Source organism: Homo sapiens, chromosome 15 (assembly GCF_000001405.40).
Source record: "Homo sapiens chromosome 15, GRCh38.p14 Primary Assembly".
NCBI classification, from domain to species: domain Eukaryota; kingdom Metazoa; phylum Chordata; class Mammalia; order Primates; family Hominidae; genus Homo; species Homo sapiens.
In genome coordinates, this window is record NC_000015.10 from 66828744 (window position 1) to 66842823 (window position 14080).

General features: G+C 49.4%; 1 long non-coding RNA gene across 1 annotated transcript, besides 3 other annotated features; it reads right to left on the minus strand.

Moving 5' to 3' along the window:
• Positions 5804-6546: an enhancer, noted in NCBI's record as "OCT4-NANOG-H3K27ac-H3K4me1 hESC enhancer chr15:67126885-67127627 (GRCh37/hg19 assembly coordinates)". NCBI's record gives its function as "activates a minimal SCP1, AML or CMV promoter by ChIP-STARR-seq in naive and primed H9 embryonic stem cells {active_cell/tissue: H9 hESC(naive and primed)}" and the evidence as "EXISTENCE:reporter gene assay evidence [ECO:0000049][PMID:30033119]".
• Positions 6547-7288: an enhancer, noted in NCBI's record as "OCT4-NANOG-H3K27ac-H3K4me1 hESC enhancer chr15:67127628-67128369 (GRCh37/hg19 assembly coordinates)". NCBI's record gives its function as "activates a minimal SCP1, AML or CMV promoter by ChIP-STARR-seq in primed H9 embryonic stem cells {active_cell/tissue: H9 hESC(primed)}" and the evidence as "EXISTENCE:reporter gene assay evidence [ECO:0000049][PMID:30033119]".
• Positions 6840-6889: a silencer, noted in NCBI's record as "silent region_6569". NCBI's record gives its function as "represses an Ori minimal core promoter by ATAC-STARR-seq in GM12878 lymphoblastoid cells {active_cell/tissue: GM12878}" and the evidence as "EXISTENCE:reporter gene assay evidence [ECO:0000049][PMID:35858748]".
• On the minus strand, positions 12557-13726 carry LOC105370869 (uncharacterized). The gene is made up of 2 exons (XR_932380.3): positions 13675-13726; positions 12557-13489 (listed from the first exon to the last, which is right to left on the minus strand). It is a non-coding gene; the product is annotated as an uncharacterized LOC105370869 (long non-coding RNA).
• Between the last annotated feature and the right edge of the window lie 354 nt (positions 13727-14080).

The following is a 14080-nucleotide window of genomic DNA, read 5'->3' on the forward strand; positions in this document are numbered from 1 at the left end:
TGCTGGGTGTGGTGGCACATGCCTGTAATCCCAGCTACTCGGGAGGCTGAGGCAGGAGAATTGCTTGAACCAGGGAGTCGGAGTTTGCGTTGAGCAGAGATTGCGCCACTGCACTCCAGCCTGGCAACAAAGCAAGACTCTGTACCCCCTCCCTCGAAAAAAATTATATATGTATGCACATACAGTGCATACATTATTTTTTCCATGAATTAGATTATGGACCTCCTTCCAAACTGTCAGAGGTGTTCAAACCAGAGCGACTCCATCTTGAATAGGGACTGGGTAAAATAAGGCTGAGACCTACTGGGCTGCATTCCCAGGAGGTTAGGCATTCTAAGTCACAGGATGAGATAGGAGATTGGCACAAGGGACGGGTCACAAAGACCTTGCTGATAAAACAGAGTGTGGAAAAGAAGCCGGCCAAAACCCACCCAAACCAAGATGGTGACGAAAGTGACCTTTGGTCATCCTCACTGTTCATTATATACTAATTATAATGCATTGGCATGCTAAAAGACACCCAGCAGCGCCATGACAGTTCACAAATGCCATGGCAATGTCAGGAAGTTACCCTATATGGTCTAAAAGGGGGAGGAACCCTCAGTTCCAATAATTACCCACCCCTTTCCTGGAAAACTCATGAATAATCCACCCCTTGTTTAGCATATAATCAAGAAATAACTATTAAATATTCTTAGCCTAGCAGCCCAAGCCGCTGCTCTGCCTATGGAGTAGCCATTCTTTTATTCCTTTACTTACCTAATAAACTTGCTTTCGCTTTATGGATTTGCCTCAAATTCTTTCTTGTGCAAAATCCAAGAATCCTCTCTTGGAGGCTGGATTGGGACCACTTTCCGGCAACAAAATGAACGCACAGAGATCTATGTCATTCTTGTTCATAGTTGCCTAATAGTCCATAAAATGGACAGCCCAAAGAAAACTCAGGACAGGTTTCATTTTGAATCCAGACGCAAGAATACTAAGAAAAATATTAACAAAAGAAATCTACCACTGCACTAAATTAAAAGAATATTACCTCACAACCCAATAGGAGTTTATTTTAGGAATGTGAGGATGGTCAATATCAGGAACTCTGCCAACAGAGCCCATTAAATTGACAGATGGTGGAGGGAAACCATGCCATTCTCTCAATAGATAGTAAGAAGATTTATGTGCAGACTGGCAACCCTGCCTGATAAAGCAGTAGAAAGGAATCCCAAACATGGTCAGAAGTATTTACTAATACCCAACAGCAAACAGGGGGGAGATATACTAACCATATTCTCATTAAAGTCTGGAGGCAGACAAGGCTCCAGGGTCCAGCACCACTATTATTATTTCATGTTGTCCCAACTCAACGCCCAGGTAGAGTGAAGGTGAGTGGGGCCCAAGGACACAGTGGCGTCATGGGAGGAGCTGGCACCCAGTGGTCTGTGGGGAAAATTCCCCTGCTCTATGGGGGTCCCTCCTGCCAGAGGTAAATTTACCCTGAAGCTAAAGACATTTAAGCCTCAGAGTCTCTCATTTGCACCCACCCCTTTCCAAGACCCTGTAACCAATTCTGCATTCACAATTTGGTATCCTTTTCTGTACAAATAGCCTTCCAATGGTATAGACTTCAGACCCATACACCCTGCACCCTCCCCTGACTCCAGCTCTGCACTTTCCCCTGGATTTTAGTCACTGGGTTATTTGAATCCCCAGTGCCCTGCCACGGCCTGACTGTGGAGGGAATGAATGAGGAAGACAGGAACCTGACTCATTCAACATTTCTTCCCTGCCTTGGCAGAGCCTTACCCACCTCGCCAGGCAACAGCTTAGCCTGGTTTTTGCTCTCATGACACCCAGGAGGTGCTGAAAGCCCGAGGAGAGTTAATCGAGTTGTGACCTTGGGTAACAGGACAGAGTCCCAAATGAGAGGAAACCACCAGGTCAAAGTGCCTGGGGTTGTGTGGCTGCGGAGAGATAGAGGCTGCAGGGAGCTGGCACTGGTGTTTGTGACTCTCTATCCGCCTGCAGCCATGATATCTGCAACCAACTCTCCAATGGTTCAGAGAAAAACTAAATGTAGCAAAAATTAAATTAGATAGAATGCCCAGCATGGGATGGGTCTCAGTAACCACGAGTTACTCCTCCATCTGCCTGGAGCCTCCTCTGCCCCGCCTCCTTCCTAGAGGGCCCCTTTTCCTTCCAACTCCTTTTGCTGAGCCCCTTTCCTCATCTTGGAAGGGAAGACCTCTGGGTGAAGAGGAGGAATCAGGCCACACCCATCTCCTTGGAATTCAAAGCCTCCCTAGACTCAGCTCCACACATTCTCCTCCCCATCCCTCCCCGACCTGGATCCTCACATAGTACCTGAACTTGCCATTGGCTTTCCACCACTCCAATTTGCTCACATGGCTCCCTTGGGCTGGAATGCCATCCTTCCCTTTTCCTTACCTTTCTCCCAAACCAAGGACCCTTTCCTGGCATGACTGTTGTGCTGTTAGCCCACTCTGCCATCTACTAGTCACTCTGTTGCCTCCATGAGCCTGGGAGCTCCAATTCCCACGGACCAGGTTGCAATCCCTTCTGTATCTTGGGGATCTCCCAAGTGCCTAAGCCATAGTAGACACTCTACCCCTGTTTACTGTCGACATTTTAGCTGCCAGTATGAATCTGCTGCCATTTTGGGGACTAGTTAAGCACATGTTGGGACACTCATCCAATAGAATACTATGCAGCTGTCAAGAATGGCATGGATTGGTATGGAGTAATCCAAGATCTGATAATACGTGAAAGAAGCAAGGTACATGCCTGTAAATGCAGCAAGCTATTATTTGTGTAAAGAAAAAAACCATACATACTTGCACTAGCAAAGGTTACCTTGAGAGAGGGGAACTGGGGATCTGGAGGAATGCGGAAGAAAGGAGGGGTTTTGAGTTTGAGTATGTGCCATGTGTATGTGAACTTAGCAAATTACCTCAAGAGTTGGGTGCTGAGGAATGTGAGCAGAAGCAAGCAGGCATCAGGCCTGAGTGGAGGAGAAGCCTGGATTGCCCGTGTGGCTCTTCCTGGAGGACCCCGACACAGCCGCTGGCAGCGGAAGGGTGCAGCATCCCCCCAGAATCCTCAGCGCCGTGGGCATCTCCCACCTAGTCAATGTCCCAGCCTCTGGGTCCTGCCATGCCTCATGCCACCTGCTGCCCCACCTTTGCCGGGCTTGTGCCTTCAGCGAAGTGCCCTGCCTTTTTATTTCCACCAGCTCTGGTTTAGTTTTCAAGTCCTGACACAATTCCTGCCTCTTCCCTGGAGTACCCCTGGCCCCCGTCAGAGGCCTCCCTTCTGCCATCTCGCTCCCTCGGCCTGCGGTCCTCCCCTCTTCTGCCCTGCGGCAGAGGGCCATACACCTGCCTGCTGGGACACTGACATGCCTGAGTGTGTGTGTGTGTGTGTGTGTGTGCGTGTCTGTGTGTGTGTGTGAGGCCAGGTGGGATGTGTGTGTGAATGGGGTATGTATGTGTGTGAGTGTGTGGGTGGGTACAGGGTGTGTGTGTGTTAATGTATAGTGTGAGCGTGTGGGTGTGTACAGGGAGTGTGTGTGTTAAGGTATTTTGTGTGTGTGTGTGTGTGTGTGTGTGTGTGGTGAGAGGCAGGGCTCAGGGGGTCAACAAGGGCCCCAGGGAACTATTTTTTCTTTTTAGATTTCCTATATTTAAAACAAGGAAGAAATGTCAAAACAATATGCAAAATATCAATATACGTATTTAAAAATTTTTCATTTTAGAATCATTTCAAACCTATAGAAAATGTACCACGATCGTAGAGAGCTCCTGTATAGCCTTCACTCAAATAGTTTCTTACCCCACATTTTATCATATTCCCTACCTCTCTCTCTTCATAATACATCTTTGCATGCATACTACATCCACATTTCTTTCTGCACAAGAGTACAGTAAGTTGAAGATGACATGTCCCTTTAACCCTAAATGCTTCAGCGGGCATTTCCTAACAGTAGGATTTTTTTTTTTTACATAACAACAGTATAGTTACCAGAATCAGGAAATTTCACAATGATACATTGCTATTATCTCATCAAGGAGTCAGCAAACATTTTCTATAAAGAGCCGGATATTTTCAGTTTTGTGGGCCATATGGTCTCAATTGCAACTACTCAACTCCGCCCCACTGTGCAAAAGCAGCCATAGATAAGGTGAAACGGACCAGGCATGGATGTGTTCCAATAAAACTTTATTTATGAAAACAGGCAGCAGTTCAGGCCAGATTTGTCCTGAGGGCTGTAGCTTGCCAACTCCTGATGGTTCATATTCAAATTTGGCCAACTGTCCCAATAATAAAATCTTTTAGAGTGATATTGTTTCCTGATCTCTGTATAGATTTTAAATGTTTATCTTGAACAAATTAATGCTCTTAATCCTCCAAAATAGAACTGAAAATAACTGTGATATTCACATGGCGATCACAGGGTTTAAAAATGTCTGAATTCATGCTGCGGCCCTGACAGGCAGTGCAGTCCTGTGATGGGTGTGGGTTTCATCTGTGTCTTCTCCTTTGTCCGATCCTAAATGCAGCTCTGTGAAGTTCTGAATAACTTCATTTAAGGTTGCTCCACAAGTCTATGTTAGGGTTCTTTGTGGGGGTGACCCCTATACCAAATGACTCTGCTGGCCTCCCAGTGACCTTAGATCCTCCTTAAGGACAGCAACCAGGTTCTGTTCCTCACAGAGCATGGCCCTAGAGCCTGGCCCAGCAAGACCCATAGACCTGGGTCACGGTGAGGTGTGGCCTGGTGCAAGTCGTCTCTCCTCTGGGAGTTGCCATTTCCTGTTGCTTGTGAGGCTCACTCAAGCTCAGAATGAGAAGCACCTGGCTTAGCCCTGGGGCATAGTAGTGAAGGTTTAAATAAAAATGTCTCTAGCCGGGTGCGGTGGCTCACGTCTGTAATCCCAGCACTTTGGGAAGCTGAGGCGGGTGGATCACCTGAGGTCGCTAGTTCGAGACCAGACTGACCAACATGGAGAAACCCTGTTTCTACTAAAAATGCAAAATTAGCCGGGCGTGGTGGCAGGTGCCTGTAATCCCTTCCCTATGGGGGAGGCTGAGACAGGAGAATCGCTTGAACCCTGGAGGTGGAGGTTGCGGTGAGCCAAGATAGCACCACTGAACTCCAGCTTGGGCAACAAGAGTGAAACTCCATCTGAAAAAAAAAAAAAGTCTCCAAAAAACCAGTTGGGTAGCCAGATGAATCAAGGGCTGCTGAGTGTTTGCTCCAAAGGCCACAGAGGCTGAGTAGTAGGCGCAACTATGACAGCCAGAGAAGACAAGAAGGGCATCCGGAGACTTCTGGCCCCACTGGCCTTTCTCTCTCTCTCACTTTTTTTTTTCTTTAAACAAGAGACAGGGTCTTGCTCTGTTGCCTAAGCTGGAGTGCAGTGGTAAGATCACAGCTCGCTCCAGCCTTGAAATGCTGGGCTTAAGTGATCCTCCTACCTCAGCCTCCCAAGTAGCTGGGACTACAGGCACACACCACCATGCCTGGCTAATTACAAAATTTTTTTTTCTTAGGGAGATGAGGGTGTTGCTATGTTGCCTCAGCTGGTCTTGAACTCCTGGCCTCAAGTGGTCTTCCCACATTGGCCTCCTAAAATGCTGGTATTCCAGGTGTGAGCCAGCACATCCCCTCCAGGACCCTCACTGGTTTTCCCTTAAGGAAGACTTTATTTAGGACTATTGTGGTAGGTGTCAAGACTATCACAACAGGGGGAGACCTCATTCAACCCCAAATAACAGCACAGACAGCTGAGAGTTTACAGCCAACTAGCAGAATGAGGGGTGGGAGCATGCTGTCAGTGGATGGAAGTTACTAAGAGGAGACATCAAAGGTAGGGGGATTCTTTCTAAATCAATGCAACAGGATTCTTGCTAAAACTGGGCTAGGCAGGCTGAAGACAGGATCCAAGGATGAAGCCTAGTCAAAAAGAGGGCTCAGAGGAGCTGGTCTAAAGTTTGCTCAAGGACAGTCTTTGTCACATGCTATGTGATCTTAGAACCACGCCCCCTCCACTTTTACAGGTGAGGAAATAGAGGCTCAGAGAAACAGTCATTTGCCTGAGGTCTGCTTTAGTCCATCTCACCCCCAGGGGGCCCGGCCCCAAGGTTCTGACCACAGCTGCCCCCTGCCCACAAGCTAGAAGTAAAAGGACCTGAGCCCCAGCCCTGACTTTGCTAGTGGACTTATTGCTGTGTGACCCTGCTTAAGTCCAGTCCATCTCTGGGCCTCTCAGTGTCACCCAAAGCCACGAGGGAGTCCTCTGGCCGAGCCATGGGAACACAGGGGAGCCGGGTAGTCCAGGCCTGGGATGGGCAGGGTACTAATTAGCGAGAGCTCCTCTGGAATGTTAAGTACCCAGCCCTGGAATGCAGCTCCTGCTGGCTGCAAACCCGCCTGCCATCAAACAGGCCCTGCCATGGCGATAAAGATCAGGGTGGGCAGGCCCTGGGGGCCCTGTCTTGGGAAGCCCACCAGGCAACACATTTCTCTGGCCTCTCCCCACGATCTCCCTCCATTGAGCGCTCACTCTATCTTAGAGCTTGAGCTTGGCTCAGAGCAAGGCTTGGTGAGTGTCGTAGGGGCTTTCTAAGGTGGCCCCCAATGATCCCCACCTCCTGGTGTTAATGCCTTTGTGGAATGCCTTCTCCTTCAGTGTGGGCTGGGCCTAGTGAGTGGCTCCTGACAAAGAGAATACAGCAAAAGTGATGGCACATTCCCTCTGATAGTAGGTTACAAAAAGACCATGGCTTTTTTCTTGGGCACTCTTTTGCTGTCTCTGAGTGAAGCCAGCTGTCATGAGCTGCCCAGTGGAGAGGGCCATGTGGCAAGGATATGAGAACAGTCTCCAGCCAACAGCCAGTGAGGCCAGCCAGGCCAGAGAGGAACTGAGACTCACAGGCCTACAACTCACAGAAACAGAATCTTGCCAACAACCACATGAGTAGGCTTAAAGAGGATCCATCCCCACATGAGCCGTCAGATGACTGTTGACCTGACTGCAGCTTGATTGCAGCCTGAGAGAGACTATGAGGCAGAGGACCCAGCTAGGAACCTATGCCCAGATTCTTGACCCAGGAAACTGTGACATCATAAATACCTGTTGTTTTAAGTTGCTAACTTTTGGGGCAATTGTTATGTAGCAATGGATAACTAGTACAACACATATCAATCAAGCACTTACAGTGTGCCTAGCCCCCTTCCCATCACTCTTTCCCCTGCCACCCTTAGGAGGTCAGCCCATTTGATAGCCATGGAAAGTGAAGCAAGTGTGGAAGCCCAAGGCCAGGCTCTTTAATTTCAGCACCCATGGAAAACTCAAGATGTCCTACCTGAGTTTTGTTTTGTTTCATTTTGTTTTGAGACAGAGTCTCCCTCTGTCGCCCAGGCTGAAGTGCAGTAGTGTGATCTCAGCTCTCTGAAATCTCTGCCTCCTGGGTTCAAGCAATTCTCCTGCCTCAGCCTCCCAAGTAGCTGAGATTATAGGTATGTGCCACCACACCTGGCTAATTGTTGTATTTTTAGTAGAAATGGGATTTCGCCATATTGGCCAGCCTGGTCTCGAACTCCTGACCTCAAGTGATTCACCCACCTCGGCCTCCTGAAGTGCTAGGATTATAGGCATGAGCCCGGCCCTACCTTAGTTTTAACAAGGCATTTTCACCTGTCTGATTTCCTTGAGCTTCATAGTCAAGAATATATTCTGATTCCATTGGCCAGTTGAGGAAACTGAAGCCCAGAGGGGAGATGGATTTGTTCAAAGTCATACAGAGTGTTAGCTGCAAAGTCATGAGCCCTGACCCCAGGGTCCTGAGTTCTGAGCTCAGGATCTTTACTGCATACCAGGCTGCCTCCCCTGCCCAGCCTGGCTCACACAGAATCCCGTGGAACAGGGCTCAGAAGAAGGCAGATATTGGTGATTCTGAGGTCTACTGCCTGGTTTCCTTGGGGCTCAGAACTATGCATGTGTCCTTAAGGAGTGTCCCTTTGCCATCTAAGGCCTGTTTTTTGAGGTCTAAGACCTTAAGCCTGAACCCAGCCCCTAAAGGAGCCTAACGGTCTTGTGCTCAAGGGAGGGAGCTCCTGGCTCCTGCTGTTCAGGGTCAGCTCCGAGGTCCTTCATCCTCAGGACACAGCCTCACTGTTCTCAGACATCCCACGTGGAAGAGCTGTAAGTCCCCGCCTGGACAAGATGGGCAGAAGGTTTCCCCTGTATGGGGGGCCAGGGCAGATTTGGTGCCCTGCAGTCTCTGCCTCCACTTGGGACCTGGGACTGAAAGATATTTGAGGCTTGGGCCCAAGCAAAAAGTGGGCAACATAAACAACCTCCTGGAGCACTCACCAGACACAAACACAAACAAATCCAGGTCTGTACCAAGACTCCGCCGTCCTTCTCAGACTACAGAGAGCCCAGGGAAAGGCAGGAGGCACGGCATCTGCTAGGACCTCCGCCTAGACCGGGACACTCAAGGGAGTCCGACAGGACCCAAATTTCTACAGTCCTGCCACCAGAATGCTGCAGAATTAGAGAATCTCCCTCTAAAGGAGGGCGCATCCCTTGCTTCAAGGCCAAGGCCCTACTCCCAACAGTCAGGTGGAGAGATCATGGGCTGTCTGAGCTGAGAAAGATCTTAGGGACCATGGCCCACCCTCAGTCTCAGTCAGGACTGAACTTACCAGTTTACACCTAAGGACTCAGGCCAGTGGAAAGGGCCAGATTTGCCCAACATCACAGAGCCTGGAGTGCCAAGTCCAGTATGAGAATGAGGGTTTCTGACTCTCAGCCCAGTGCCCAGGGCTCTAGGTCAGCGGTCCTCAAACTTTGGCTTTCACTGGCATCAACTGAAGGGCTTGTTAAAACCCAGGGAGCTAGGCCCTGTGCCTGGAGTTTCTGATTCTGTAGGTCTGAGTGGGGCCTGAGAAGCTGCATTTCTGACAAGGTCCAGGTGGTGCTGATGCTGCCAGTCTAGGAACACACTTGCAGAACCAGCGCCCTGGGCATGCTGTCTTCCAGATCACTCTCCTGATGGTTCCCTAAAGCAGCGGTCCCCATCGTTTTTGGCACCAGGGACTGGTTTTGTGGAAGGCAATTCTTCAACATATCATGGTGGGGAGAGGGAGTATGGTTTGAGATGAAACTGTTCCACCTCAGATCATCAGGTATTAGTTAGATTCTCATAAAAAGCACGAAACCTAAATCCCTAGCACACGCAATTCACAAGAGGGTTCACGTTCCTATGAAAATCTAATGTGTTGTCTGGGCGTGGTAGCTCACGTCTGTAATCCCAGCACTTTCAGAGGCTGAGGCTGGTGTATCACCTGAGATCAGGAGTTTCAGACCAGCATGGCTAACATGGCGAAACCTCGTCTGTACTAAAAATACAAAAATTAGCCAGACGTGTTGGCATGTGCCTGTAATCCCAGCTACTAGGGAGACTGAGGCAGGAGAATTGCTTGAACCCAGGAGGCAGAGGTTGCAGTGAGCCAAGATTGCACCACCGCACTCCAGCCTGGTCGACAGACTTCATCTCCTCCCCTAAAAAAAGAGTCGAATGTGGCAGCTGATATGACAGGAGGCAGCACTCAGGCGGTAATGCTTGCTGGGCCGCTGCTCACCTCCTGCAGTGGAGCCCAGTTCCTAACAGGCTGTGGACCAGTATCAGTTTACAACCCAGAGGTTGGGGACCTCTGGCCTGCACAGACCGAGGGCAATTTGCAGAGTCCCTGAGTGCCTGTCTAGGTACAAACTCCTTTGAGGGAGTGGGATGTGTTGAAGAATCGTGAAGGGCAGCACCCTGTCTTGTTCATCTTTGCATCTATTGACCAAGCAGCTCCCCTATTAGCTGACCTATAAAACCCACAGATATACATGAAACACCCCAATTTTATAAGAAAACATATTTAGGAAAATTAATTTTTTTGTCATAACTACACTGAAAGTATTTTGTTGTTGTTGTTCAGGTAAATCAAGTATTATACGTGGGAATATTTTTATTAAGGAAACTTCCAGTAGGATGTCGACGGGAAGTGAAAGGATGGTCTCTGCTGTGAAGTTTTCTGTTTCCATGCTTTGCCACTAGGGGCTGGTTTCAGCCTTCACTTTACCATCAGTTCTCCCTATCTATGGGTTGAAAATATGTGAAAAAAAAAAAAAAAAAAAAAAGAATGGTTATGTCTGTACTACACATGTAAAAACTATTTTCTTGTCATTGTTCCATAAATAACACAGTATAACAACTATATACATAACATTTACATTGTATTAGGTATTGTAAGTAATCTAGAGATAATTTAAAGTATATGGGAGGATGTGTGTAGGTTACATGCAAATAATATACCATTTTATATAAGGACCTGAGCATCTGTGGATTTTCGTATGCATGGGGGTCCTGGAACCAATCCCCCATGGATACTGAGGGACTACTCTATTTTACCTTTTCGGCACTAAAGCTTCTATTCTTAAACTGATGTTTTGGATACTGGGTAAGTGGTGGCTCTATGGATGTAGATATAGATTCATATATGGATGTGGCCTTGGATACAAATACAGCTGCAGATGCAGAGACAAATGAGGATCTAGACAGAGATACATATACAGATACAGATAGAGATATAGTGTGTGTGTGTGTTTTGAGAAAAAGTGAAAGCATGTCTAACATGCTGGCCTGTATGGTATATTCCTCCTCTAGGACTTCATGTTGCTTATTGTGAGGGACACAGCTTTGTCTGTCTTCCCACCAAGAACTCATGTCCTCCTACACAGACAGTAAGGAGAGGCTACGTGATCCAAGGCCCATGGGGATTGCCACTAAAGGGCCCAGGCTAGAAAGAGATGGGTTTTAAGGAGATCAGAGCCAGCTTCTTGGAGGAACAGAGCCATATGAAATGACTCAAAATTAAGTTCATGGAGCACAGCTGTGATCACATGACTCCCCACCTCCCCAGTGCCCATAGGAAACAAAAAGCCTGCAGCCTGGCAGATGTGGATAAGGCTCATCATCATTCAGCTGGGCCCTCCCTCTCTATCCCTCAAACTGTGGGGTGGTCCAGCCATGCCTGACTTCTGTGCACCCAGCCTTTTCTCATCACTGTGCCCTCAGCCCAGATCACCTTTCTCCAACTTCTCTGTTATCAAAGTCCTACACATCCTCCACGCAGCCTCATTCTTTCTTCAAGTTCTCAGAGCCCAGGACTTATTTCTGGGGTGCTGGGAGCCCATATAGCCTCGTCTTATGCCTGATTACTGCGGCACAAGCTGCTGGTGGTCTGCTAATCTCCATCCTTCCCTTCTTCTATGGCAGGGGCCAGCAAGTTATAACTCGTAGGCCAAATCTGGCCTGCCACCTATTTTTGTGCTGCCTGCAAGCACAAAAGTATTCTTTTTTACTTTTTTTTTTTTTTTTTGAGACAGAGTCTCCCTTTGTCACTCACGCTGAGTGGAGTTGCACGGTCTCGGCTCACTGCAGCCTCGACCTCCTGGGCTCAAGCAATCCTCCCTCCTCAGCCTCCAGAGTAGCTGGGACTACAGGAGCAAGTCACCATGCTGGGCTTTTTTTTAATTATTATTTTTTTAATTTTAGTTTTTTGTAGAGACAGGGTCTTCCTATGTTGCCCAGGCTGGTCTCAAACTCCTAGACTCAAGCAATCTGCCTGCCTCAGCCTCCCACAGTGCCGGAATTACAGGTCTGAACCACTGGGCCTGGCCTTTTTTTACATTTTTAAGTGACTGAAAATAAAATATTTTGTGAATCATAGAAACTATATCATATTTAGATTTAATTGTCCATAAATAAAATATTATTGCAAGTGCAGACAGGCTGATTTGTTTCTATATCTATGACTGCTTTCACTCTTTTCTAGTAGGGTAGGCAATGCCACAGAGAATGTATGGCTTGCAAAGCCTGAAATATTTACTGTCTGGCCCTTTAAGAAAATGTTCACCAACCCCTGTTCTACAGTGTGAAAAGTTTGTTTGTTTCTGTTGGGCACTTGGGCTGCCTTATTAAAGACTGCATTGCCCAACTTCCCTTGCACCACCTAAGTGTGACATGGGACTAAGTTGTGCCAGTGGGTTGTAAGTAGAAGTGATGTTATCTAAGGAGAGAGGACATGTCCCTCTATCCCTTTCCTCTGCCCAGAATGTAGATGGGAGCCCACAGTGGATATCCCAAGAGGGCAGAACGGCAAGAGGGAAGGAGCCTGGGTTCCCGGATGACCCTGGAGTAGGATCGCCATCCCAGTCTTGGACAATCTACCCCTGGAGGGCCACACCAGAGAGCAGTCAACTCCACTCTGACATGACCCTGACTAAGGCACCTCACATTCATCTCCCCCAGCAGAAAACAGGTTCCTTGAGGGTAAGGGCAGAGCCTGTCTGTTTCACCAGAGCTCCCAGAACATGGCCCAGCACATTGGAGATCTGGGTGTGCCCCTTATTGGCAAGAGACGTGTGGCAAATGACCTCCCTGGCCTGTTTTCTCTTCTATGAAATGAGACTTAGCACCATACTCACAGGATTATTGTCAAGTTTACTAAAATGTATGTAAAATATCAGACCTGTCCTGTGCCAGCATGTAATAGGAGCCAAATAAATCGTGGCTATTGTGAGCTATTAAGTTTTCCGAAATCAGATCCTGTCCCCCACCTCCCTGCTGTAAACCATGGCTCCCTGGTTCTCTTAAGTCTGAAGTCGGTACCATAACCCGCAAGATCCTTTATACCCCGATGCTGTCCACCTTCCCAGTCTCACGGCTCATCCTCCAAATGACTCAGGCAGGTGCCCCTGTCCTGGCATCCTGTCCTTCACAGTGGGGGTTGTCTTAAGGTCGGAGTGAAGGAGATAAATGTGCTAAGTCCAGACGACCCCTTGAAAATGTCTTCAGTCACTCATAGGTACAGTACCCGGACTTAGTACCTCTCAGTAAGTCCAAAACAGTCTTCCTCCAATGTGGGAAAATGTGGCTATATCTTCAGTTGAGCACCAGATAAAGTCGCTGGCTTGCGTTTAGGGTCCTCATGGGATCAAAAATATGCGTCTTTAATCGTCAGAGTCACCCTGAGGATTGAAAGTTCATGCGATGCTTCTCTGCTGTGCTTTCAGTCCTTGCCGTGTGCCCTGTCTTCTCACCGCCAAGCCTTTGCACCTGCCGCTCCTTCTACCTGGAGTACCCAACCTGCCTCTCCCCACAACAAGGCCCATTCCTCTTTCAGGCCTCTGAGCAGGTGCCACTTCCTCCAGGAAGCCTTCCATAACTACCTGGCTCCCGTCCATATACCCTGAAACGCCTCTGCCTGTGCAGTGGCCTCCCACCGTGTGGTCACCGCCTGACTGCCTCTCTGTCTTTTTATCTTTTTCACCAGGTCCTTCCTTCTCTTTTGCTCACTGCTGAATTCCCAGCGCCTAGCATCGAATTTGGTGCACAAGAGGTGCACAGCAAACGCCTGTGGAATGAGTGAACGGTGGGGACGGTCAGGGCTGCCCCTGCTTGCACCCGCGGGAGGCTGGGGAGGGCAGGAAGGAGAGCGCTGCGGGGCCCTCCCCTCCCCGCCGTCCTCCCAAACCCTTTCCCTGCCCAACAGGGCGCCACTGGCCTGTCCCACACCCTCTCTGCCGCCTGCCCAGTGACCTAATTATTGTTTTTTCTTCCAGCCCCGCGGAGGGGAAAACAGAAATTCCTGGTGGATGACACAGGCCCGGCGGCCGCCTGCGAGCCGAGCACGGGACCGGCTGGGCCGGCTTCGCCCGCCCTGAACCCGCCACCCGCCCCGCCGAGGGCCGCGGAACCCGTCATCAGCTAAGTACAGAGCGGGCGGCGGGCGGGGCGGCGGCCGGGGAAATTGCCGGTTCCCGTGCCCCGCGGGGCCTGCGGGCGCCCCGAGTCTGGGGGCCCGGGGCGGGCGGGCCGGGGTCCGGGGGATCCCGGGGGGTCACGGGCGGCCCGGGTCCGAGTGCGCCGGTACTGAGCTCGAGAACGGCCCCCGCTGGGGAAGGAGCCGCTGGCAGCGCGGGGGCCGCGCGCAGGGCAGGGGGCG